The sequence below is a fragment of the Homo sapiens genome, chromosome 13 (assembly GCF_000001405.40).
Source record: "Homo sapiens chromosome 13, GRCh38.p14 Primary Assembly".
In the NCBI taxonomy this organism is placed as follows: domain Eukaryota; kingdom Metazoa; phylum Chordata; class Mammalia; order Primates; family Hominidae; genus Homo; species Homo sapiens.
In genome coordinates this window covers 21,442,996-21,468,623 of record NC_000013.11, presented here as the reverse complement: position 1 = coordinate 21,468,623, position 25,628 = coordinate 21,442,996, and the positions used below count along the sequence as shown (strand labels likewise).

The 25,628-nt window shown below is 43.8% G+C and overlaps 1 protein-coding gene and 1 long non-coding RNA gene across 14 annotated transcripts in view, besides 4 other annotated features; one reads left to right on the top strand and one right to left on the bottom strand.

Annotated features, from left to right (window-relative positions):
• Window positions 1-7,977: 7,977 nt before the first annotated feature.
• Window positions 7,978-9,077, bottom strand: LOC124903131 (uncharacterized). The gene is made up of 2 exons (XR_007063713.1): window positions 8,445-9,077; window positions 7,978-8,241 (listed from the first exon to the last, which is right to left on the bottom strand). It is a non-coding gene; the product is annotated as an uncharacterized LOC124903131 (long non-coding RNA).
• Window positions 8,996-9,165: an enhancer, noted in NCBI's record as "experimental_32537 CRE fragment used in MPRA reporter constructs". NCBI's record gives its function as "activates a minimal promoter by MPRAs in K562 erythroleukemia cells, with activity observed for both the introgressed and non-introgressed 13:22033683 or rs80289919 variant alleles {active_cell/tissue: K562}" and the evidence as "EXISTENCE:reporter gene assay evidence [ECO:0000049][PMID:34662402]".
• Window positions 8,996-9,408: a biological region, named in NCBI's record as "ATAC-STARR-seq lymphoblastoid silent region 5161".
• Window positions 9,029-9,408: a silencer, noted in NCBI's record as "silent region_5161". NCBI's record gives its function as "represses an Ori minimal core promoter by ATAC-STARR-seq in GM12878 lymphoblastoid cells {active_cell/tissue: GM12878}" and the evidence as "EXISTENCE:reporter gene assay evidence [ECO:0000049][PMID:35858748]".
• Window position 9,080: a transcriptional cis regulatory region, noted in NCBI's record as "Neanderthal adaptively introgressed variant 13:22033683 (GRCh37/hg19 assembly coordinates) or rs80289919 in the experimental_32537 CRE". NCBI's record gives its function as "modulates activity of the experimental_32537 enhancer by MPRAs in K562 erythroleukemia cells {active_cell/tissue: K562}" and the evidence as "EXISTENCE:reporter gene assay evidence [ECO:0000049][PMID:34662402]".
• ZDHHC20 (zDHHC palmitoyltransferase 20) overlaps window positions 9,321-25,628 on the top strand; it is an 86,733-nt gene continuing 70,425 nt past the window's right edge. For 9 of the 13 annotated variants that reach the window (NR_104487.2, NR_104486.2, XR_007063672.1 and 6 more), the window contains exon 1: window positions 9,321-9,570. Coding sequence is in view for 5 of the 13 variants with exons in the window: in NM_153251.4 (NP_694983.2) it covers window positions 9,453-9,570 (118 nt within the window). In the remaining 8 variants the exon portion in view is untranslated. Of the gene's footprint in view, window positions 9,571-14,053; window positions 14,097-25,628 lie in introns of all 13 variants that reach the window. The other 4 variants (XM_047430246.1, XM_047430245.1, XM_047430244.1 and 1 more) reach the window with 1 other exon arrangement.

Below are 25,628 nucleotides of genomic sequence, written 5' to 3'. Positions count from 1 at the left end.
CTGCACTCCAGCCTGGGCAACAAGCACAAAACTCCATCTCAAAAAAAAAAACATCATCCATCATGACCAAGTAGGATTTATCCCAGGTATGCAAGGATGGTTCAACATATGCAAATCAATCAATGTGATACATCATATCAACAGAATAAAGGATGAAAGCCATATAATCATTTCAACTGATGCTAAAAAATCAATTGACAAAATACAACATCCCTTCCTTATAAAAACCCTCAAACAACTGGGTATAGAAGGAACATACCTCTAGCTGGGTGTTGTGGCTCACACCTGTAATCCCTACACTTTAGGAGGCTAAGGTGGGTGAATTGCTTTGAGTTCAGGAGTTAGAGATCAGTCTGGGCAATATGACAAAACCCCGTCTCTACAAAAAATACAAAAATTAGCTGGGCATTTGTGACTCATGCCTGTAGTCCCAGCTACTCAGGAGGCTGAGGCTGGAGAATTGCTTGCACCTGGGAAGTGGAGGTTGCAGTGAGCTGAGATCATGCTCTTGCACTCCACTCTGGGTTACAGAGTGAGACCCTGTCTCAAAAAAAAAAAAAAAAAAAAGGAACATACCTCAACATAATAAAAACTATATATGACAGACCCACAGCTAGTATCACACTGAATGGGAGAAAACTGAAAGCCTTTCCTCTAAGATCTGGAACATGACAAGGATGCCCACTCTCACCACTGTTATTCAACAAAATACTGAAATTCCAGCTACAGCAATCAATCAAAAGAAAGAAAAAAAAAGCAATCAAATTGGAAAGGAAGAAGTCAAATTATCCCTGTTTGCAAATGATATTATCTTATACTTGGAAAAACCTAAACACTCCACCAAAAAACTATTAGAACTGATAAATTCAGTAAAGTTGCAGGATACAAAATCAACATACGAAAATCAGTAGCATTTCTACATGCCAACAGTGAACAATCTGGAAATCAAAAAAGTAATCCCATTTACACTGAGCCATGATTGTACCACTGCACTCCAGCCTGGGTTACAGAGTGAGACTCTGTCTCAAAAAAAAAAGAAAAAGAAAAAAATAAAATTAGCCAGTCTTGATGGCGGGTGCTGGTAGTCCCAGCTACTCGGGAGGCTGAGGCGGGAGAATTGCTTGAACCTGGGAGGCAGAGGTTACAGTGAGCCGAGATCCTGCCACTGCACTCTGGCCTGGGCGACAGAGCGAGACTCTGTCTCAAAAAAAGAAAAAATAACTAAAAGATTATAATTGAATTGTTTGTAACACAAAAGATGAATGCTTGAGGAGATGGATGCCTCATTTACCCTAATGTGATTATTACACATTGTATGCCTATATCAAAATATCATATATATTCCATAAATAGATATACATACTATGTACCCACAAAAATTAAAAGTTAAAAAAATCATGAGATCTATAAACTTGGAGAGAAGAGCTGCATTTCCTATAAAGGGTTGCAGCCTGCACGTGGTCATCCTGACAGGCTGGGAAACACATCCTCTCTCAGAGACAAAAAGTAGGCACTTTAGAGAAAAAAAGGAGAGGCTGTGATTTGTGCCCAATGAGATTAGCTATATGTACATATTCAGTAGGTTACAGGATAATCTTACAGATATTTGTGAGGGAGGCCTAATGCATGCAGACTAGATAAACATATATGTTACATGTGACCCATGTTCACCTTGAAGTGGAACCTTAATATTTCGGATGAGATCAGGCACATTCAGGTCGTATGGCCGTAGACAAGCCTTAATATTTCAGTGCATTACAGTCAAGCCCTATACGTCAAAAAGTGAGTCAGGGATGCAAAGGCACTCAGTGCACAGCCTCTGTGAACCAGCCAAAGCCAGTCCGTGGTCAGTGGTCTCTTACCAGGAGAAAGGTACTGAAATCAGTCTCTTGTCCAATCAAAGCTGTAGCTACGGCTGGTGGAAAGAGGGTGTGGGGGGCAGGTAGGCAGTGTGTGGAGGTCAGAGGAGTTGTAATTGTTTCGATACTGCTTATCTCCAGGCCAGTGCTTGTTTCGCTGCTAGAGAAAAAAATAAACAAACAAAATCCCTTGTGGCAGTTAGAGCATAATTTATTCTTTAAATGTAGGGGTTCACCACTTAACCCTTGCCTGGCATGGTCTTGTTTATAATTTGGTATCTTATTGCCACAAAGACTCCATTCTGTCAGTCTTATGATCTCTATTTTACCATTAATGCTGGTCAGTTGTGTTTAATCCACAAAAGGGAGGGGCTGTAATGAGGCATGTGACGCTACCATCCCATCATGGTGAGGTACCCCGTTTTTAAGGGTTCTGTGGGGTCCTCTTGCCCAAGGGAGGAATCTGATCAGTCAGGTTGCGGGGAGGGTATTTTTATTTCTTATCCCTTAGTAGGAAGCCAGGTCTGAGGGAGGGGTGGGGAATCTGGGGTGAGGAGGAAGGGGCCAAAATTTTGCAGGCAGAGCTCCCAGATGGAACAGCATGACCTGTGCAAATGTGTGCTGAGGTTCACAGAGAAACGCAGGCTTGGGGCAGGCCGTCTAGAAGGAAGGGCTATGGAGATGAGGTGGGGCAGGAAGGCAGCTGAGCTGCAGGGCCTACGAAGCCTTCGTTAATGCCTCATCATTCGGACCATTCAAGTGTATGAAGCAGATTTAATTTTCTAAAGGCTCACTCTGTGGACCGGAGGCAAAGGGAAAACAAAGAAAGAACCAAAGCTGCACAAGAGCAAACATTTTCTCTCTGTGTTCCCGAGTGCTTAGCACAAAGAAGGTTATCAGAACAGGTTTGTTTCTGGGCGAGCACAGGAATGAAAGAGTGTTTACAGAAGGCTGGAGGAGGGCAGGGGTGTGTGGGGGTAGCAGAGGGGAGGCTGTGAGCTAATCCAGGTGAGAGTTGAGGGCAGGATGTACACGGAGGAAGGTTAAAGGAGTGAGCAAACTGGGTTTCCAGCCACAGGTAATGCCTCTGCTTCCTGAACCGGCTCCACATCCCTTCTTTTCTTCCTCATCCCGCCCTAAACCTGCTCCCTTTCCTTCTCTCCCTTCCCAGAGCATCACTAAAGAGTGCGGACTTGCAATTTTCCCTAACTCACTTGTTCCTAAAGCAAGACGTGGCCCTTCTGAAGTTCTCAATTTTGATAGTTGGTAGTGTAGGGGAGAAAAGATTTCTCACCCAGTGCACATTTCATAGCTGAGGCACCTGTCATAAAAGACAGATTAGCAAGAGGAAAGCATACACATTTATTTAAGTTTTATGTGACACAGGAGCTTTCAGAAATGAAAACCCAAAAAACAGGACAAACTGAGTTTTTTATGGACAGTCATGTAGAATTATGATTGGAGGACAAATAGCAATGAAATAGGGGGGAATTAGCAAGGCCAGTTTGGTTCAGGTTGTTGGCATCTCTGTGTCTTGAAGGATATACTTCCAAATATAGGGAGGGCACCTCCCTAATGAGGGTCTTATGGCCTACTTCAGAGAATTCTTTTATGGCCTGCTTTAGGAGGGAAGGATGGGTCAGAGACACCTTCTTGTTCTGGTTGTTCCCTCAAATGCCAAGGTGCCATATATTGGGGTAACATGTCCTGAACCCCATCAGTAGAAAGACAAAAACATGGTTTTATGGGTTTGTCTTTTTTTTTTTTGAGACAGAGTCTCACTCTGTCACCCAAACTGGAGTGCAGTTGCGCGATCTTGGCTTACTGCAATCTCCACCCCATGGGTTCAAGCAACTCTCCTGCCTCAGCCTCCTGAGTAGCTGGGATTACAGGCGCCCAGCTAATTTTTTGTATTTTTAGTAGAGACGGGGTTTTGCCATGTTGGCCAGGCTGCTTTTGAACTCCTGACCTCAGGTGATCCACCTGCCTCGGCCTCCCATAGTGCTGGGATTACAGGTGTGTGCCACCGTGCCCAGCCTATGTTTTTTCATATATTCCAGCCCACCCCTCCGCCACTTGGATGAGTTGACATATTCAAAGGGCTGCACAGTAAGATTCAGCTCACTGCTGCAGGAAGCAAGACCCAGGACCTTGTGTGCCAAGTCCCTCTTCCACAATGTCCAGATTGGAATTTTATTCTGTCTATTAAGTTTTAAATTTGACAGCAATATTTTCTATTTCAAAGACTTGTAGTTATTATTTTTCAAATCCACCTGTTGTTTTTTGTTTGTTTGTTTTTTGTTTTTTTCTTAGACGGAGTCCCGCTCTGTCGCCCAGGCTGATGTGCAGTGGTGCAATCTCAGCTCACTGCAACCTCCGCCTCCCAGGTTCAAGCAATTCTCCTGCCTCAGCCTCCCGAGTAGCTGGGATGACAGGTGCCCGCCACCATGCCCGGCTAATTTTTGTATTTTTAGTGGAGACGGGATTTCACCATCTTGGCCAGGCTGGTCTTGAACTCCTGACCTCGTGATCCACCCACCTCAGCCTCCCAAAGTGCTGGGATTATAGACATGAGCCACTGCGCCCAGCCAAATCTACCTGTTCTTTTCCCATTTTTGTCTATTATTTTGTTTCCAAATTTTGTGCAATTTTCAAATGGAAGATATTCCTTCATTTACTTCTTTGTACAAGCATGCTGAATACTGTTTTTAAAAGTCTTCATCAGACTGCTTCATATAATTAATTTTATTTTGAGTGAACTCTAGTTCTGATTGTTGATTTTTATTTGCATCCTTTTTCAGTATTAGATCTCTTCATGTGTTTTAAAATTGTGGTTTAATTTTGAACTAGTGAATTGTTTGTATTTTCTTCTTCACTCTTTCCACATTTATATGTACATGGTTTCCATAAACCCCGTCTAATCGTTTCATAGCTGCCTCTACTTGCCCTCATTCTTCCCCAGCTCTCAGTCCAGAACTAGAATTTAAAATGGTATTTTCAGGTTCCTGGATGGTGGTTATAATGGGGAAACCACAGATCTAGTCCCCAGGCTAGTTGGCAGCTTGGTTTACTTCCAGGTTGGGGAGCTGCATGGTGTCCTCCAGTCTCCATGAAAAGCCATTATCCTAGAGATCAATCAGCACAATTCTCTTTTGTTAGAGAATGGAAAGGGATAGAGGTTGGGGATGAGGGTTTGAGGCTGACTTTGTCTTTTGTTTTCTATCTACCATTGCTATGTTTTGGAGTACAGTGGGTACATCAAAGCTGGCCTGAAGTCCTAAGTAGCTTCCTTGTTTTTTTTTGGAGAGAGTCTTGCTCTGTTGCCCAGGTTGGAGTGCAATGGCGTGATCCCAGCTCACTGCAACTTCCACCTCCCAGGCTCAAGCAATTCTCCTGCCTCAGCCTACGGAGCAGCTGGGATTACAGGCGCCCCGCCACCATGCCCAGCTAATTTTTTTTTTTTTTTTTTGTATTTTTAGTAGAGATGGGGTTTTACCATGTTGGACAGGCTGGTCTCAAATTCCTGACCTGGTGATCTGCCCACTGTGGCCTCCCAAAGTGCTGGGCCCACAGGCGTGAGCCATCGCACCCAGCCCTAAGTAGCTTTCTTATTACCTTCTCCACTGCCACAAATCAAGGTCAGGCTAGCATCATCTCTTGCTCTACGACTGCAACGGCCTCCCAACTGGTTTCCTTGCCTCTAGACTTTCCTCCCTCCAATCTGTTCTTCTTACCACAGCCAGAGTGATTGTTATAAAATGTAATTCTGCTCACGTCACTACACTGCCTAAAGTCTTTAAATGATTCCCTGTTGTCAAAACCAGTAGCAAAGATGGAGTGAAATCACAAGCCCAACATGGAAATGGAAGGAAGGGGTTTAAGATACTGGCTTCTATTGCTCACAAGCAAAGAACATTAATTCATGTCTGTAACCATTTACGACAGAAAGAGTCCAAAATAATAAAAATATTGCCTCCTCAAAAATGTGTCTGTCCTCATTGTACAAGGACATAGATCAGAAATATTCTCTAGATCCCACATAAATCACCTTAGAATATGTGGCAGTCATTTAGAAATCAGAAACTGGTCGGGCACGGTGGCTCACAAAAAATACAAAAAATTAGCTGGGCGTGGTTGTGTGTGCCTGTAATCCCAGCTACTGGGGAGGCTGAGGCAGGAGAATCGCTTGAACCAGGGAGTCGGAGGTTGCAGGGAGCTGAGATTGCACCACTGCACTCCAGCCTGGCAACACAGCAAGACTCTGTCTCAAAAAAAAAAAAAAGAAAAAGAAAAAAAAGAAATCACAAGCTAATGTAATCTGGTTGGCAACGCCAGAAGTTAGGAGGAGTAACTGGATAACAATAGAAAACTTTAAATATTTGTTCAACAATTTCTTACTAAATATTTCCTACTGCAAGTCACTGTGGATGTGCAAGAAATACTTTCTACCTTCTAGAACCTTACAAGGTAGTAGGCAAGATCACATATTTCAATGAGTATCAAAACTATTGGCTGAGCGAGGTGGCTTAGGCCTGTAATCCCAGCACTTTGGAAGGCCGAGGCAGGCAAATCACTTGACTCCAAAAGTTTGAGACCAGCCTGGCCAACATGGGGAAACCCCATCTCTAGCAAAAATACAAAATGCAGGCCTCACGTGGTGGTGCACGCCTGTAATCCCAGCTACTCGGGAGGCTGAGGCATGAGAATCACTTGAAGCTGGGAGGTGGAGGTTGCAGTGAGCCAAGATCACGTGACCGCACTCCAACCTGGGTGACAGAGCAAGACTCTACTGAAAAAAAAAAAAAAAAGAATGTGGCCTTATTTGGAAGTGGGCCTGTTGTAGATGTAATTAGTTAAGATGAGGCCATACTAGAGTAGGGTAGGCCCTTAACCCAATATAAGGGGAGAGACAGGAAAGGAGAATGCCACCTGAGGATAGCGGTAGATATTGGGGTGATGCCACTGCCACTGCAGGTCAAGGGATGCCATGGACTAATGGTCACCACCAAAGGCTAGGAAGAAGCAAAGAAGAATTCTCCCCTACAAGTTTCAGAGGGCACATGGCTGTGTTAGGTCATTCTTGCACTGATATAAAGGAATACCTGAGACTGGGTAATTTATAAAGAAAAGTGGATTAATTGGCCCACAGCTCTCCAGGCTGTACAGAAAGTATGGGGTCAGCATATGCTTCTGGTGAGGCCTCAAGAAGCTTCCAATCATCAGTTGGAGACAACATTGGAGACAACAGCAACAGGAAGGTCCCTCTCACCTTCCTCTCGCTCTTCTCCCCTGAAGCAGGCCATAGCACTAGCAAAAGCGTCTCAGGCCTTCCCCTGAAGGCAGACCTAAGACTGTTATTCAAGAGGTGCCCTCCCTCTACCCAGACAAAGGAACATCCTTATCTCTGAAGACACAGGACCACAGAGATAGACTTCTGCCTTCTCGGCAGAAGGCAAAGGGGAGCCAGCATGTCACATGGCAAGAGAGGGGGCAAGAGAGAGAGTGGGGGAAGGATCAGGCTCTTTTAAATAACCAGATCTCATGTGAACTACTAGAGAAAGAACCCCTCATCCAAGGGGATGGCACTAAACCATTCATGAGGGATCCACCCTAATGATCCAATACCTCCCACCAGGTCCCACCTCCAACACTGGGATCACATTTCAACATGGGATTTGGAGGGGACAAACATCCAAACCATATCCAATATCCTTGCCAACACTTTGATTTGGGACACCTACCCTCCTAAACTGTGAGACAACCAATTTCTATTATTCCCCAGTTTTGTGGTACTTTGTTATAGTCACCCTAGGAAACGAATGTGACAGTTTTATAGTTAGGTTATAAACAAAATGTCGTGAAAGATCATTTCTAGCAGCCCTGGAGCTTGTAAAGGACATGGCTTTGTGCTGAGCTCTAGCAGCATGGTTTTGGTACGTAGAGATGACATAGAGGAGAAACGGCTTTATGTTCTTCCATGTCCATCCGAATTCTATGTTGAGGTCTAACCCTCCTAAGCAGCCTCTCTGGAAAACTAGTTGAACTTGAACCTAAACCTACTGTCAACTAGGCCACTAACTAATATGACTTTTAAGGCACAAAATCAGGGAGAACAGAATCTTTTATACATGCTTTATTACTCAAGCAGCAGTGTGCAGTGATTAAATACTTACTCGCTTTTACTACATTTCTCTGACACAGCAAAGGGTGACGTCTTCTTCATGGAGACTTTAGTGAGCAGTAGCTAATTTAAAGCTCAGTGTAGGCCGGTCGTGGTGGCTCACACCTGTAATCTCAGCACTTCTTTGGGAGGTGGAGGCGGAGAGGGGTTGGGATTCCTTGAGCCTTGGAGTTCAGGGCCAGCATGGCAACAGGGCGAAACCTAGTTTTTACAGAAAATACAAACATCAGCTGGGCATGGTGGCGGGCCTGTAGTCCCTGCTACTCTGCAGGCTGAAGCAGGAGGAGTGCTTTAGCAGGGAGGTCGAGGCTTAAATGAGCCCAGGTCGTGCCACTGCACTCCAGCTTGGGCGACAGAGCGAGAAGACCCTGTTTCAAAAAACAAACACAAAAATTCATTCTAACCAAAACTGAATGCTAGTAGCAGGAACTGGTATGAAGATTGCGGTCTGGAATCCCTTCTAATGCGTCTGACCTTGCATTGTGAAGTCTTCACAGTGATGCTTCTGGGTTCTATATGATTATCGTCATTGCTTAGCAACCTCTAGTTGTAAATAAATTCTTTAAATTTCCTTAGTCGTTTGCGGGGCAAGGAGAGGGTCATTTACATGCCCTTTCCTTCTCGCTACTCAATCTTAAATTTGGGTTACGAATCAAACTGATGGACCCTACATGGCTTCTACCCGAAATTACAGGTATCTACCGTTCCATCTTCAAGAAAGGGAGGGGTTCCGCCAAGATGGACGAACATAAAAATCACAGGAGGAGCCTTCTAACAATGTGCATTCTTCGCACACTGAGTGGGGAATGGCCTTGTCATGTTTGAAACAGTGCCCCAACTACTCAATGTCCCAGGAACCCCAGTGGAGCGAGTTCTGTACACAGAGAGGGCCAAGATCCACAAATCAGCTAAGGAATCATTTCCATAGTCTCCCTCCCCTATTGAGTCTCGATCCACAAAAGCTATCCCCTGTCCCTCTCATCCATCAAGGGCGTGTTTTTCGCCTCTCCTTCCCCGGCCTCCCGCGTCCGCCCAGCCTGTCCGCATCCAGCCCCGCCACGCCCCATGGGCGGTCCCGAGCTGCGGCCCCGCCCCCTCACCGCCTCCCCGGCCGCGGAAACCCCGCCCCAACGACGCGGAGACCGGGGGCGGCCCGCGGCCCGCGGCGGGCGGGCTGGCGGGGACGGACGCGGGGGGAGGGGGGCGACGGGATGTGGGGTGGGGGCGGGGCCTGGCTGGGCGCCGGGACGGGAGGAGTCCCGGCGGCGCCTCGGACTTTTGCTCCCACAAGTCCTGCCTCGGAGGCGGGGGAGCTGGACCAGCAGCCGCCTGGAGCGTCCGAGTCACCGTCGCCGGGGCTCCCGCGCTCCCCAGAACGGTGGGACGCGGGGCTCGGCAGCCGCCAGCGGAACATGGCGCCCTGGACGCTGTGGCGCTGCTGCCAGCGCGTCGTGGGCTGGGTGCCGGTGCTCTTCATCACCTTCGTGGTCGTCTGGTCCTACTACGCGTACGTGGTGGAGCTCTGCGTGTGTGAGTACCGTCCCCGGGGACTGCGGCGGGGCGCGGGCCGCGGCTAGGGCGCGAGATAGGCCTCTGCGCCCCACACCCGCCGCCTTTCTGGAGCCAGCGCCGGACGCCGGGCGTCCGGCCCCGAACGCGCTCGGAAGCGCCGAGGTTGCTGCACCCGCCGCTTTGTTCAATCCTGCGGCGCGGCCTTGGGGCGACCTGGGGCTCCTGAAGCCTTGCGGCGGCTTCCCGGGTGCAGGTCTGGCCCAGGGAGGCCCCAAGAGCTTCCTGGTTCCCGCCGACACCGGGGGTCTGCATCCTTCTGGGAAGGAACGTGCAGAACGGGAGTAGTCGAGCTTCTTAGAAGGTTTAGGTTGTGTTTGTGGCTTTTTTGGCTTTTGTTCATTTTTTTTAAAAAACCAAATCTGTTCCTTCTGGATTGTTTTTGTTCAAACTGCGCGAGAAGAAACGCCTGTTACCTGTAGAGCCGGCTGTGGCGGGTTGGGGGAAGGGAGGTGTGTCTTTTGGTGGCCTCGGGCTGGAGGCGGGTCAGACCTGGAGGACGAGTAAGCTCCCACTTTTGATTTTTGGTGGTACTCGACTCATTGTAAAATTCGTTTATTTCTACTCTGAATCCAGCCGGCTTTTGCAGAAGGTTAAGACAGAAAGAATGGGTGGGAGGAGACATAACCTGATTATTTTTTTCTTGGCTGATTATTAAGGAGGCTTATATTTCTTATACTCATATTTTGGCGTGTTAATTTTCGTTACTTCCATTTTCCTGATAAGTTCTTAGCACAAAATTCTCATCTGATTCCCTGGAAAAAAGGAGTAGCATTGCAGTATACTTCAAGGATTTAACCTACTGGCTTGAATTGGTTGCCTTTAAGATTGAAGGAAATTGGTTGTCATTAATCAAAAACACTGTTTAGGGGTGACTGCTACATTTGTGATATTGGGCAATTTCTCCAACATTGTTTTGTCTTAAGTAAATTGTTCTTAGGCTTTGAGTATGTGGGTATTTTACACTTAAACTGGCCTCAACTAGGGTGTTCTGTATACATCTGCTGCCTATATCAATTTTTTATGAAAACCTAGGACCAAATGGTAAGTGGTGTTTGTAAACGTTATTGTTATTCCAGAATGTTCTACTCTTAGTCCTTAGACTGAATCTACCATTTTATGAAGGACTGTTAAGTGTTCTTTGAATAACGAACCACATCAGCTAGAAACTAATGTTATGAATGAGAAGAATCTGTACCACCCACTCTTGAAAGTGGCAGAATCAAGACTTCAATTATGTTTGGATTTGTACAGCTTTCAACCAAGTATTTGGTTAAAACCCTAGTTCTATACATGGAAGAGAATGCTTTGGCTCAGAAAATTTATAAGTTTTGAAATTAAAACATCCAGTTTTAAAATTACTTTGTACCTATAGAACGTTTAATTTTGGGACGACTATCCCTGCAGGTAGGCCCAGAATAAATTAGTTGTGGAATACATTTCCAAATAATATTAATCTTTTCAATATCATTGTTTAGTCTCATGCTTTTGGATACCAGAATGTTTACTAAAAATGATGTTTGAGTCAATTAAAATTACTAGATTTTAATATTTCTGGGAGCTACTTCCAGAAAGTGGTAGTGATCATAGGATTCTCATCAACTTATGATGATACCTCCTTTATCTTCTTATTTACTCTGAAGTGGGCATTTATTCTAAAAGTTATGTCATTCCTATTCTGTCAGAAGATTATTCCTACCGTATTTTAATTCCCGTAGTGGTTTTGAAGTAAAGCTGAAGGAACACTAAAAATGTGCATTTATGTTGAGATTCCACAGCTTAACCTGTAGATGGTTTTTGTCAAAAATATTAAGAAATGAGATCAAACAGTGCTGTGAAAAGTCTTAAATTGCTTCTGATTTCTTTCACCACTTCAAATAAAGAAGGAGAAATGAACATGAATTGAGAAGTGCCATGTGCTAGTGGGCATAGAGGGGACATTTCATTCACCCTCTCCTTTAATTCTTTCAGTATGTCACAGCATAGGTATCTCTACAGGTGGAGGACGTGAGACTGAGCGAATAGGTCCTTTTGGTTAGGTCACACAATTGATTATTGGAATGTGACCCACATCTTTCCGTTCTTTCATATAACTTCAGTAAGCTATGAGGGTCAATGGAACTGTAATTGTTTGGTCCATAATGGTGTGGGGGGATAAAGGGGTTGGCATATTTTTGGAGATCACTTAGTTAGGCTTGAGGCCCATTCTGTAGAGATTATACCCTACAATTTCATTAAGTTAAAACATTCTATAACTATGGCCTGATGCTTGGCAGAATCTTAAAATATTTGGTGGTGAAAGGTCTTATGTAGAGGCTGTATTAACTTCTGAGTTATCTCATTTTAACTAGAGAGAATTTGGGAGGTCTGCAGTGTCACTGGAGTATAAAATAGTTGAGCATAAAAGTGCATTTACTCATATTAAAACTATCCTTTAAACTACTTGTATGTATTTGTTTTCATAAGTACTGACCCTCCCACTGAAATATGTATAGATATATTACTTTATAGGAGGACTTAAATGGAGGGAAGTGTGAGTTTTACTTAAAAGTGCTGTTTTAATACTTTTATAGGATATTCTTTTTATTTATATATGTATTTTTTGAGCCAGAGTTTCACTCTTGTTGCCCAGGCTGGAGTGCAATGATGCGATCTTGGCTCACTGCAACCTCTGCCTCCTGGGTTCAAGTGACTCTCCTGCCTCAGCCTCCCAAGTAGCTGGGATTACAGGTGCCCGCCACCATGCCCAGCTAATTTTTTTTGTATTTTTAGTAGAGACGGGGGTTTCACCTTGTTGGTCAGGCTGGTCTCAAACTCCTGACCTCAGGCAATCCACCCACCTTGGCCTCCCAAAGTGCTGGGATTACAGGCATGAGGCATTGTGCCCGGCCTATAGGATATTCTTAGATTCTGGTATTCTTTATCAAACTAGGAGGAGAAGATCATAATTATATCTTTACATGTATGTATTAATTCATTTAATCTTAATAATGATCCCCATAAGGTTAAGTAATTTGTCCACGGTTATAGAGCCAGTAAGTAGCATGGTAAGAATTGGAATTCAAGGGGTTTGGCTCCAAAGCCCATGCTGTTAACCACTATACAATTAATGACTAATCTATTTGGTGTCCAGATCTGGACACTCAGGGCAGATTTCAGTCCTGTATATGATATATTTATATAAAGTACTTTTCTCCTAAAAGGCAGCTGCAGAAGATTCCTAAATATCTCAGACAATAAAAATACCTGGCCCACAGTTGGCTGTAAGTTGAACAAATTGTTGATTACCAAGAGGCCCTCATTCCATCTTACCCTCTGTAACTTGCTAATTGTGTAATTAGACACACACACACACACACACACACACACACACACACACACCACTTCACTGGGAGTAATACTGAGGACAAAATTGAGGAAGAGGGTAATGCATGTAAAACGGCCATCTCACAGGAGTGATAAGCTGAGAAGCGAAGATTAAGTAATTAGTAATATTGGTCCTTGATTTTAAATTAGACTGAAATTCTCGTATGATTTTTTTTCCCCAGGGTTGATATTTAAAGTACGAATGGATTGAATAACTTCTTCTCTTTGGTCAAGGTGGTTATTTTTGAGGCAAGTGCTAATTCTGGTTCCCAAGGTTTTATCAGAATATCTTGTTGTTCAGGTCATCTTGTTAGTGGATGTGTACCTCTTCTTTGGCATGTAGAGAATCTTAGAACTTAAAGAGATTTTAAAGATAATCTCATTCAGTCCCTTTACTTCTGATGAAACTATTGCTCAAAAGAGCTATGTTGGCCAGGCGTGGTGGCTCACACCTGTAATCCCAGCGCTTTGGGAGGCCAAGGCAGGCGGATCACGAGGTCAGGAGATCGAAACCATCCTGGCTAACACGGTGAAACCCCATCTCTCTAAAAATACAAAAAATTAGCCGAGTGTGGTGGCGGGTGCCTGTAGTCCCAGCTACTCGGGAGGCTGAGGCAGGAGAATGGCATGAACCTGGGAGGCGGAGCTTGCAGTGAGCAGAGATTGCACCCCTGCACTCCAGCCTGGGCGACAGAGCGAGACTCTGTCTCAAAAACGAACCAACAAACCAACAAACAAACAAACAAAAGAGCTATGTTGTTTGTTCAAGGACAGGTATACCTTTTATATTTTTTTCAGACAAATTTGTGGAGTGGACTCTAACCTTTGAGTCTGTATTAAATATTTACTTGTGTCTCCTGCATAACTTCTTCAAATTTAGAGGCAGATTAAGATAAATAACTTAAGCACTATCATTGTACATGCTAGCTTGACACTGTTGATTCTGAAGTATTTTATTGATATTGAAAGAACCAGTTTTCTATTTCATTGATTTTTCTCTTTTCTGTTTTGTTGTTTTCCTGTCTGATCTTTACTATTTCCTTTCTTTTACTTTGGGTTTAATATGCTCTTTTTCTAGATTAATGTGGAAACCAAGGTCATTGATTTGAGCCCTTTCTTAGGTAGGTAGTCCTATAAATTTACCTCCAAATACTGCTTTAGTTTTATTCTATCAATTTTGATATGTTGTGTTGTGGTTGTCATTCAATTCAAATTATTTTCTTGGGCTGGGCACAGTGGCTCACCTCTGTACTACCAGCACTTTGGGAGGCTTGATGAAACCTCATCTTTTTGTTTGTTTGTTTTTGTTTTTGTTTTTGTTTTGAGATGGAGTCTCATTTTGTTGCCCAAGCTTCAGTGCAATGTGGCGATCTTGGCTCACTGCAACCTCCTCCTCCTGGGTTCAAGCAATTCTCCTGCCTCAGCCTCTTGAGTAGCTGGGATTATAGGCATGTGCCACCACGCCCGGCTAATTTTTGTATTTTTAGTAGAGATGGGGTTTTGCCATGTTGGCCAGGGTGGTCTTCAACTCCTGACCTCAAGCGATCCACCCACCTCGGCCTCCCAAAGTGCTGGGATTACGGGTGTGAGCCACCATGCCTGCCAAAACTCCATCTCTACAAAAAATACAAAAAATTAGATGGGCATGGTGGCTTGTGTCTGAAGTCCAGCCTACTCAGGAGGCTGAGACGGGAGAATACCATGAGCCCAGGAGTTCAAGGCTGCGTTGAGCCATGATTGTGCCATTGCACTCCAGCCTGGGTTACAGAGCAAGACCCTTTCCCAAAGAACAAACAAATCCTTTTATTTTGTTTTGTTTTAAGACAGTTTTGCTCTGTTGCCCAGGCTGGAGTGCAATGGCGCAATCTCGGCTCACTGCAGCTTCCACCCTTCAAAATTCAAATTATTTTCTAATTTCACTTTTGGTTTGATCTTTGACCCCATGGATTTAGTTTCCATTTATTTGGGGGTTTTCCAGATATCTTTCTGTTATTGATTTCAAATTTCCTTGTGGTCAGAGAACATACTTTGTATGACTTAAATCCTTTAAAATGTATTCAGGCTTGTTTTATAGCCCAGAATGTGGTCTGTCTGAGCTGTGTTCCATGTGTGCTTACGAAAAATATGTCTGTACTCAGCAATGTATTGTGCTGTTTGTTGCTGGGTGGAGTATTCTGTTATGTCATAATGCTCCATAAATGTCAGTTAAGGCAAGTTGGTAGTGTTATTCAAGTCCTCTATTTTCTTGCTTTCCTGTTTGTTCTCTCAGTTATTAAGAGAGGTATAACTATAATTGTGATTTATTTCTCCTTGTAGTTCTATCAGTTTTTGCCTCGTATTTTACATCTGTGTAATTAGGTGCATAAAACATTTAGGATTGCAATATCCTATTGACCAGTTGGCTCACTTAACATTATGAAGTGACTTTATTACCCCTGGTGATATTGTTTACTCTGAAATCTGCTTTGGCAGATATTAACATGGGCACTAATCTTTCTTTTAATTATTGTGAGCATGATGTATCTTTCTCTGTCCTTTTAATGTGTATGTGTCTTATATTTAAATTGTAATTCTCGTAAAGAGCATATATTTGGGTCTTTTAAAATCCAACCTGAAAATCTCTGCCTTTTAATAGGGGGTTTTGACCATCTACATTTAATGTGATTATTGATATAGGCTTAAGTCTATCATTTGCTCTTTTGTTTTATTGTCTGTCCTCTTCTTTGTTCCATTTTCTCCTTCTTTGACCTTCTTTTGAATTAATTGATCTTTACAATTTTTTTAATTTTGATTTTTAAAAATGATTCTATCTCCTTATTGGCATATTACTAGTAATTCTTTTTGTTACTTTATTGATTGCTTTAGGGCTTATAACATGTGTCTTTGAGTTATCACAGTCTACCTTCAAGTTACGTACTGTTTCATATATAATACCTTATAAAAGTATACTTCTATCTCTTCCATCTTGGCCTTTATGCTATTATGGTGCATTTTATATGTTGTAAACCTCACACTGTATTGCTACTATGTTTAAACAGTTGATTATATTAATAGTTTTTAAAGATTTAGGTTTAAAAAACCCAAAATATATGTATTTATTCCTATAGTTACCATTTCTAGTTCTCTTCATTCCTTTTTGTAAATCCATCTAGTGTCATTTCCTTCTGCCTGAAGGGCCTCTTTTAACGTTTATTGTAGTGCAAGTCAGCTGGACTGAATCATTTCAGTTTTTGTATGTTTGTAAAAGTTTTAATTTTGCCTTTAGTTTTTAAAGACAACTTGATCGAGACATAGTTTGCATGTCATAAAATTCACTAATTTAAGATGTACAATGCAGTTATTTTTAGTAAATTTGCCAAGTTTTGCAGTCATCACAACAATCCGTTTTTTGAAAATTTCTGTCGCACATTAAGATCCCTCATGCCCATTTACAGTTAATCCTTCTTCCCACCCCCAGCCCAAGGCAACCACTAATCCATGTTGTCTCCAAATGCCTTTTCTGAACATCCCATATAACTGGAATAATACATGCTTGCAACACATATACTAAAATTGGAAGAGTACAGAGAAGATTAGCATAAAAACCAAGAAAAATTTAAAAAGGGAAAAAAATAAATGGAATCATACAATAAGTGTTTTTTTGTTTTTTTTTTGGAGATGGAACTTCACTCTTGTTGCCCAGGGTGGAGTGCAATAGTGTGATCTCGGCTCATTGCAACCTCCGCCTCCTGAGTTCAAACGATTCTCCTGCCTCAGCCTCTCAAGTAGTTGGGACTACAGGTGTGTGCCGCCATGCCCTGCTAATTTTTTTTTGTATTTTTAGTAGAGACAGGGTTTCACCATGTTGGCCAGGCTAGTCTTGAACTCCTGACCTCAGGTGATCCACCTGCCTCAGCCTCCCAAAGTGCTGGGGTTTCAGGTTTGAGCCACCGTGCCCGGCCAATAAGTGGTCTTTTTTGTCAGGTGTATTTTGCATAGCATAATGTTTTTGAGGTTCATCTGTGTATTATGTATCAGTATTTCTCCCCTACTCTTCACTTCACATCCTAATTTGTATTTTTCTGTTTTCAAAACATATTCACAGTTTTATTTAGGAATATATTTCTAGTAAGCCTCCTCACATCATTTGTACATTGAATTAGAATATAAATTAAAAGTATGCACTTTCTTATATTTATTTATGTACCTGAATAATCCTGCTTACAAGACTTATAGTATAATTGGGTCCTGTTTGTTCTTGTATCCATTAGAGCCTAGTGCTAGTAGACTTTAAATTAATATAACTTGAATTGAATTGAATCATACTCTTGTAAACTCACTTGAATCGTGTTTGAATGTTAGGACACACAAACATCTAGAATAATAATACTAATTATAGTTACAAAACATGTATTTCACAATCTTTAGTGGTAAAGGCTACGTGAAATGGCTTATTGGTCCTACATACAGTCTTTGTTTTGGGTTATGAAACAGTGATTCTTTGAAATTATGCCGACATGGTTTAAAAAACCTATTTCCCTAAATCTTATCCTCAGTGGTTGGCATACTTATAGGAAAAGTTAAATGTGAATTAGAATTAAAAACAAAAAACTTTTGGCCAGGCATGGTGATTCATGCCTATAATTTCAGTACTTTGGGAAGCCCAAGTGGGAGGATTGCTTGAAGCCAGGAATTCAAGGGCAGTTTGGGCAACATAGCAATACCCTTTACAAAAATAAAATAAAAAATTAGCCAGGCATGGTGGTACCCACCTGTAGTCCCAGCTACTTGGGAGGCTGAAGCAGGAGGATTACTTGAGCCCAGGATTTCGAGGCTGCAGTGAGCTATGATCACACCACTGCACTCCAGCCTGAGTTACAGAGTGAGACCCTGTCTCCAAAAAAAAAAAAAACCACCTTTTTATTAATTTTATCATTTCGCATCTATTTTCAGATGCGAGAGTGTAGTAATTTTCTAGATAACTTGCCTTTGAAAGATACAGTGGCCAGAAGACCTGTTTATTTGAATTCTGCAGTTACCTTAGCCTTCTCTTTTACTTTTTGTTATTTTTGAAGAAAAAGTTTTTTTTCTCATGACTACTAGTGAGTTAATCTGTCCTGGTATTATTTTCTGTGTTACCAGATAGCATACTGGTCTGAGAGAGCTCTGTAAATATATATATTTAAAAACCCACCTAAAATCAAATGAAAAAAAAGATCTGTTTTATTTCCCCACATAAACTCAACCTTCTCTGGGGCTTCCCTGCTTTCTTGAAAGACAAGAAATGTGGAAGAGAAAGATGCTGGACAACCTAGAAACCAAGTCAGACTGTTCAGAAGAACCTTATGCCCTAGTCATGCAAGTAAAAGCCTGGCTGCTTCTCTGCCCGCTCCCTTTCCGGCAGAGAAGTAGTAGTATGCTGAATTCCGGACTCTAATCTGTTTACTTGACATCTCTGCTTGGAGATCTAATAGGCATTGTAGACAAAACTCTTGATTTTCTTTTTTTTTCTCCCTTGAACCTGCTGCTCCTAATAGCTCAGTAAATGACAGCTGTATCCTTCTACTTCTTGGGTTGAAAAGTCATTCTCCATCTGGATAATCAGCTTGTTCTGTCATTAAATGTCTAAAATCCAGCTGCTTCTCACCACTACTACTGCAACTGTTACACTCCTTTAAACCACCATGATCACTGCTTAGTGTAATAGATTGAAAAACATGACTATAATAATTTGCACCATCTGGGTGCAGTGGCTCACGCCTGTAATCCCAGCATTTTGGGAGGCCGAGGTGGGCAGATCACCTGAGGTCAGGAGTTCGAGACCAGCTTCATCAACGTGGCAAAACCCCATCTCTACTAAAAATACAAAAATTAGCACACACCTGTAATCCCAGGTACTCAGGAGGCTGAGGCAGGAGAATCGCTTGAACCCTGGAGGCAGAGGTTGCAGTGAGCTGAGATCATGTCACTGCTCTCCAGCCTGGGCCACAGAGTGAGACTCTGTCTCCAAAAAAAAAAAAAAGTATAATAATAATAATAATTTGTACCTTCTTCCATCAAGAAATAGTCTGTTTACCGCCCATTGAATCTGGGCTGGCCTTGTACTTGCTTTGGCCAGTAGAATGTGGTAGATATGTGAGTTCTGGAACTTAGGCCTCAAGACATCTTCTGCCTTAGCTCTTTTGGGACATTCCCGTCATCATGTAAGGAGTCCAGACTAGACTGCTGAGTGAGAGACCACATGGAGAAGAGGCCCAGCCAAGAGAAGCCAGAACCCCTAATGTGTGAACAAGGCGATTTTAGACTCCCACCCCATTCGAGCTGCCTGATGACTGCTATTAGTAGAGAAACATTCCAGCTGATCATAGCCCAAACTGCTGGCCCACACAATTGCAGGAAATAATGAACAGTGGTTGTTTATTTTTATTTATTTATTTTTTTTAATTTATTTTTTTATTGATAATTCTTGGGTGTTTCTCACAGAGGGGGATTTGGCAGGGTCATGGGACAATAGTGGAGGGAAGGTCAGCAGATAAACAAGTGAACAAAGGTCTCTGGTTTTCCTAGGCAGAGGACCCTGCGGCCTTCCGCAGTGTTTGTGTCCCTGATTACTTGAGATCAGGGATTGGTGATGACTCTTAACAAGCATGCTGCCTTCAAGCATCTGTTTAACAAAGCACATCTTGCACCGCCCTTAATCCATTTAACCCTGAGTGGACACAGCACATGTTTCAGAGAGCACAGGGTTGGGGGTAAGGTCACAGATCAACAGGATCCCAAGGCAGAAGAATTTTTCTTAGTGCAGAACAAAATGAAAAGTCTCCCATGTCTACTTCTTTCTACACAGACACGGCAACCATCCGATTTCTCAATCTTTTCCCCACCTTTCCCGCCTTTCTATTCCACAAAGCCACCATTGTCATCCTGGCCCGTTCTCAATGAGCTGTTGGGCACACCTCCCAGACGGGGTGGTGGCCGGGCAAAGGGGCTCCTCACTTCCCAGTAGGGGCAGCCGGGCAGAGGCGCCCCTCACCTCCCGGACGGGGCGGCCGGCCGGGCAGGGGGCTGACCCCCCCACCTCCCTCCCGGACGGGGCGGCTGGCCGGGCAGAGGGGCTCCTCACTTCCCAGTAGGGGCGGCCGGGCAGAGGTGCCCCTCACCTCCCGGACGGGGCGGCTGGCCGGGCGGCGGGGCTGACCCCCCCCACCTCCTTCCCGGACGGGGCGGCTGGCCGGGCGGGGGGCTGACCCCCCCACCTCCCTCCCGGACGGGGCGGCTGGCCGGGCGGGGGGCTGACCCCCCACCTCCCTCCCGGACGGGGCGGCTGGCCGGGCGGGGGGCTGACCCCCCCACCTCCCTCCCGGACGGGGCGGCTGGCCGGGCAGAGGGGCTCCTCACTTCCCAGTAGGGGCGGCCGGGCAGAGGCGCCCCTCACCTCCCGGATGGGGCAGCTGGCCGGGCGGGGGGCTGACCCCCCCCACCTCCCTCCCGGACGGGGTGGCTGCCGGGCAGAGACGCTCCTCACCTCCCAGATGGGGTGGCTGCCGGGCGGAGAGGCTCCTCACCTCCCAGACGGGGCGGCTGCCGGGCGGAGGGGCTCCTCACTTTTCAGACGGGGTGGTTGCCAGGCAGAGGGTCTCCTCACTTCTCAGACGGGGCGGCCGGGCAGAGACGCTCCTCACCTCCCAGACGGGGTCTCGGCCGGGCAGAGGCGCTCCTCACATCCCAGATGGGGCGGCGGGGCAGAGGCGCTCCCCACATCTCAGACGATGGGCGGCCGGGCAGAGACGCTCCTCACTTCCTAGATGTGATGGCGGCTGGGAAGAGGCGCTCCTCACTTCCTAGATGGGATGGCGGCTGGGCGGAGACACTCCTCACTTTCCAGACTGGGCAGCCAGGCAGAGGGGCTCCTCACATCCCAGACGATGGGCGGCCAGGCAGAGACACTCCTCACTTCCCAGACGGGGTGGCGGCCGGGCAGAGGCTGCAATCTCGGCACTCTGGGAGGCCAAGGCAGGCGGCTGGGAGGTGTAGGTTGTAGTGAGCCGAGACCACGCCACTGCACTCCAGCCTGGGCACCATTGAGCACTGAGTGAACGAGACTCCCTCTGCAATCCCGGCACCTCGGGAGGCCAAGGCTGGCGGATCACTCGCGGTTAGGGGCTGGAGACCGGCCCGGCCAACACAGCCAAACCCCGTCTCCACCAAAACCAGTCAGGCGTGGCGGCGCGTGCCTGCAATCGCAGGCACTCGGCAGGCTGAGGCAGGAGAATCAGGCAGGGAGGTTGCAGTGAGCCGAGATGGCAGCGGTACAGTCCAGCTTCGGCTCCACATGAGAGGGAGACCGTGGGGAGAGGGAGAGGGAGACGGAGAGGGAGAGGGAGAGGGAGAGCGCTCACATCTTCTATCTGTCCAAACTGGGACGAGTCCTCGGCCTCGGAGGCTCCACGCTCCCTCTCTCACAGCCCGCACCTCGGCGGTCTCTGGTTGTTTAAAGTAACTTAAGTTTTAGGGTGGGTTGTTAATGCCACATTATCACCTATATTGTAGTATCCTTGTAAACCTGTCTCTTCCTGTGCTCCACCCCCACCTTTATTCCATGTATTCTCCAGGAAGCAGTCAGAATGGTCTTTTTCAAATTAATACCAGTTTGTTACTCCTATTCTCAAGATCTTGACTGGCGTCCTTTCTTGCTCAGCAAGATATCTAAAAGCCTTACCATGGCCTTTAAGGCATTGTGTATTCATTACTTCATTACTTCTCTGACATAATTTCCTTTCCACTCTTCCTCTAATTTTATCTCTAGCTTAAGAAATCTATTTTCTATAGACAGAGGTGTGGGAGGGTGTGTTGTCTAAGGGAGGGAGCCCTCCACATCATCACCATGTGGGATTTTAAGATTAATACCTGACGCTATTCCTGTAAGCATATAAGCAACACATTTAGATACTGCTCAAATATGTAGAACATATACTTGAACAGATGGGCATTACACTTAAATGACTGATATAATAAAGAATAAAGGTGACTAGTTTTATGGAGAATAGATTCCCTTAAATAGAGATCCATAGGTCTTTAAAATAAAATTTAAAAAAAATTTGGTTTTAAAACATCTCTATTTTGGCTTTCCCAATGCATTTTACTATCGTAAACTTTGAACCACTCATTGGAATCATAGGAAGAATTAATTTTTATGGACATACTAATTCAACAGCATATAAAAACAAACACAAACTTATTAAATGTGAAGTCTTCTGGGAAGCTTTTAAAACTAATTGCATGAAAAGGATATCCTCAGCATCTGAAGGAAATAATACCAAATACACCAAAATATTAACAGTGTATGTTGCTGGGTTTGAGATTATACTGATTTTTTCCTTATGCAATACATAGCCTCTTAATAGACTTTCATATTTTCCCCTTACAGCATATTCTTCCCTTATCCCCCGAAGAGCTAATGAATCTGCTAAAAAAATACAAGTCATGATTATTACTCCTCTGCTCAGCACCCTCTGATGGCTTTCCACTTTGCTTAAAATGAAATTCAAAGTTGAAAATATATAAGGCTCTAGATGCTGTGGCCTGCCACTGCTTCTGACCTAATTTCTTCCTTTGCTCATTCTGCTTCAGCCAACAGGCCACCTTTCTTTTCATCTGTCAGGCCACCTGAGGACCCTTGAACTTCCTGTTCCTTCTGCCTGGAATGCTTTCCTCCCAGATTTCCGCATGGCTAGCTCTCACTTCGTCTAGATCGCTGTTCAGGTAGTCACCTATCAGAGAGGCATTCCTGACTACCCTCTGTAAAAGAAGTACTTCGTCTTTTAGTCTCCTCACCCTGCATTTTTCCCCCCTCATAGCGCCTATTATTACTTGACATACAGTTATTTTTGTTTCTCTCCAGTCGTATATTCACTGCTGTATTTCCAGAACCTAAAATAGGGTCTGGTATAATATGTTCTCAATAGATATTTGTTGAATGAGTGAATTGATTGTGTAGCCGCCAATTCGCATGCTAGTAGAAGAGGGAGAATTGGAATGTTTTCATATAGTAGACAACTTGCAATTATTGATAATCGGTATTATTGATAATCTTAAAGTTGCTTCTGGATTTCAGATAGCCTGTTCATTAGGCAGGTGAGGAAACTGTCTTGAATTGTCAGGAGGAAATGTTAATTATAATAGCTATTGTTATTATTGTTTATTGTATGCCCGTTGTGTGTCTGACATATAGTCTGAGGCAGTTCACTTATGTTAGGTCTTTTTTAATTCTAACTCTATTGGAGAGAGATTATTAGCATTATTTTGTGGATTAAAAACAAAGACTCATAGGTTAAAGATCTCTTTTGAGGCCATACAATTGATACATAAAACCAAAGCTCAGATCCACATCTGTGTAACTCTGTAAGTTTTGCCCTTTCCATTATACATTTGTCCATTAAAATATTTAATAATTTATAAGCTCTATTTGCAGGCCTTTCATTATATTTGTTATAACTAGTCAAATCTTGTGTTTGGGGCATGTAATGCAAATAAGACAAAACCTCTCCCATATATATATATAAATATATAAAACATACATGTAAAACATGTATGTGTGTGTGTGTATGTGTTTTGAGACAGGGTCTCACTGTGTTGCCCAGGCTGGAGTGCATTTGGCATGACCACAGCTCACTGCATCCTCAAACTCCCAGACTCAAGCAATCCTTCCACCTTAGCCTCCTGAGTAGCTGGGACTACAGGCGCATAACACCATGGCCGGCCAATTTTTGTAATTTTTATAGAGACGAGGTCTTGCTATGTTGCCAGGGCTGGTCTCCAACTCCTAAGCTCAAGCAGTCCTCCCACCTCAGCCTCCCAGAGTGCTGGGATTGAAGACATCAGCCACTGTGCCCAGCCCTATATTTTTATACAGGTGACATTTGGTATAACAGTACCTATCAAGAGCAGTTTGGAGGAAAAAGATCATAAAACGGTAGGGGACGGATATACCTACTAACTTTCACGTAGAGAAGGCTGATTTACTGGCTGTTTGTATTTATAACTATTTCAGATGTATCCTTATTTCTTGGGTTTATGGCCCAATACGAATAATTTAATTTAGTAGAACAACATAAATTTACTAATTTTATCATATATAATGTATTTTTTGAAAGTACCCGTTATTATCACTATCATTTTATAAAAGGATATTCTAATATCAAAGTATGAGACATAATCTGAATGAAGACTTCAGTGCCTTTAAATTATTGCAGTTTATGAAAAATTCTCTCCCTTTTGCTTATGTTTCTTGTTTTACTGTGGCCTGGGTCATGGACTTGGATTTGGGAGTCATTTCTTTAGCACGCCAATTTATCTCTCCAACTAGTTTCTATGTTGATGTACATAATAAACAAGTAACCTTCTGTGACTTCCAGGCAGTCTGTTTAGAGCCTAAAGCCTTAACGTGAAACCAGGGAGGTGAGGTATTCCTGGTTCTAACAACAAAATTTTACTCATTTATTTACTAATTTTTTTGAGACAGAGTCTCGCTCTGTTGCCCAGGGTAGAGTGCAGTGGCACAATCTCAGCTCCCTGCAACCCCCACCTCCCGGGTTCAAGCAATTCTCCTGCCTCAGCCTCCCAAGTAGCTGGGACTATAGGCACACGCCACCACACCTGGCTAATTTTTGTATTTTTAGTAGAGATGGGGTCTCACCATGTTGGCCAGGCTGACTCCTGACGTCAGGTGGTCCTCCTGCCTTGGCCTCCCTAACTGCAGGAATTACAGGTGTGAGCCACCACACGCAGCCAAAATTTTAGAACACAGACTAATCATAAGATGATGTTATCTATAGCCACATGTGGAAGTTCTAGAAAAATGAGTGTTGGCAGATAATATTTTAAATCCTTCTGAACAATATTGAAGGACCCCAGGAAATGGTAATAATTATCCTTACTATTCATGCATTTAATGCGCTAAGTAATTAAGTGGTCTGTCTATATCTTTTGATCTTTACAATAACTCTACAAAGGAGATGCATATTTTTCTTCAGTTTATAACTTGAGAAGTTGACTTAGTTCCTCAATTCAGACCTTTCCACATATCCTTCTAAAACCCATACAGATTAGTAAGAGCAAATAAAATCAACTATATAACCTGGGCCTATGGCATAGCTAGGACATAGAGAATTTTTGAAACCACAGTTTATATGTGAGTGGGGAAATAGTCATCTAAGAATAGCTAGGTGAACTCTGGTGACTGTATCAGAACTAAGAGTAAGGGACTCTGCAGAGGATAACAGGCTCTTTGTTCATCCTCAGAAGATGAGAACCCTATCCCGAGTGGGAAATACTGAAAACAGGTCTGTAATCTGGTGGATCAGAGCATAGCAACTGAGAATGCAAAAGAAAAGGGACTTGGAAAAGTGTTTATGACTTGAGATGGCAGCCTTAAAAAAAAACACCACTCCTAGGGGAGAAGGTAGCACCTTGGAAGTTGAAAGTGTCCCATGAAGTATTAATATTTAATAGTAAAGAGAAAGAAGGAAATAGCTGGAAGGATACAGCTGAAACCAAGAGTATCAAAGCGATAGAGGATAAATAAATGCACTGTCCATCTAGCAAATAAACTGTACTTCATTGAAGTAACAGAAGAAGGCACTGGTAGAAATAAGAAATTAAGCAAGCCCTTTTGC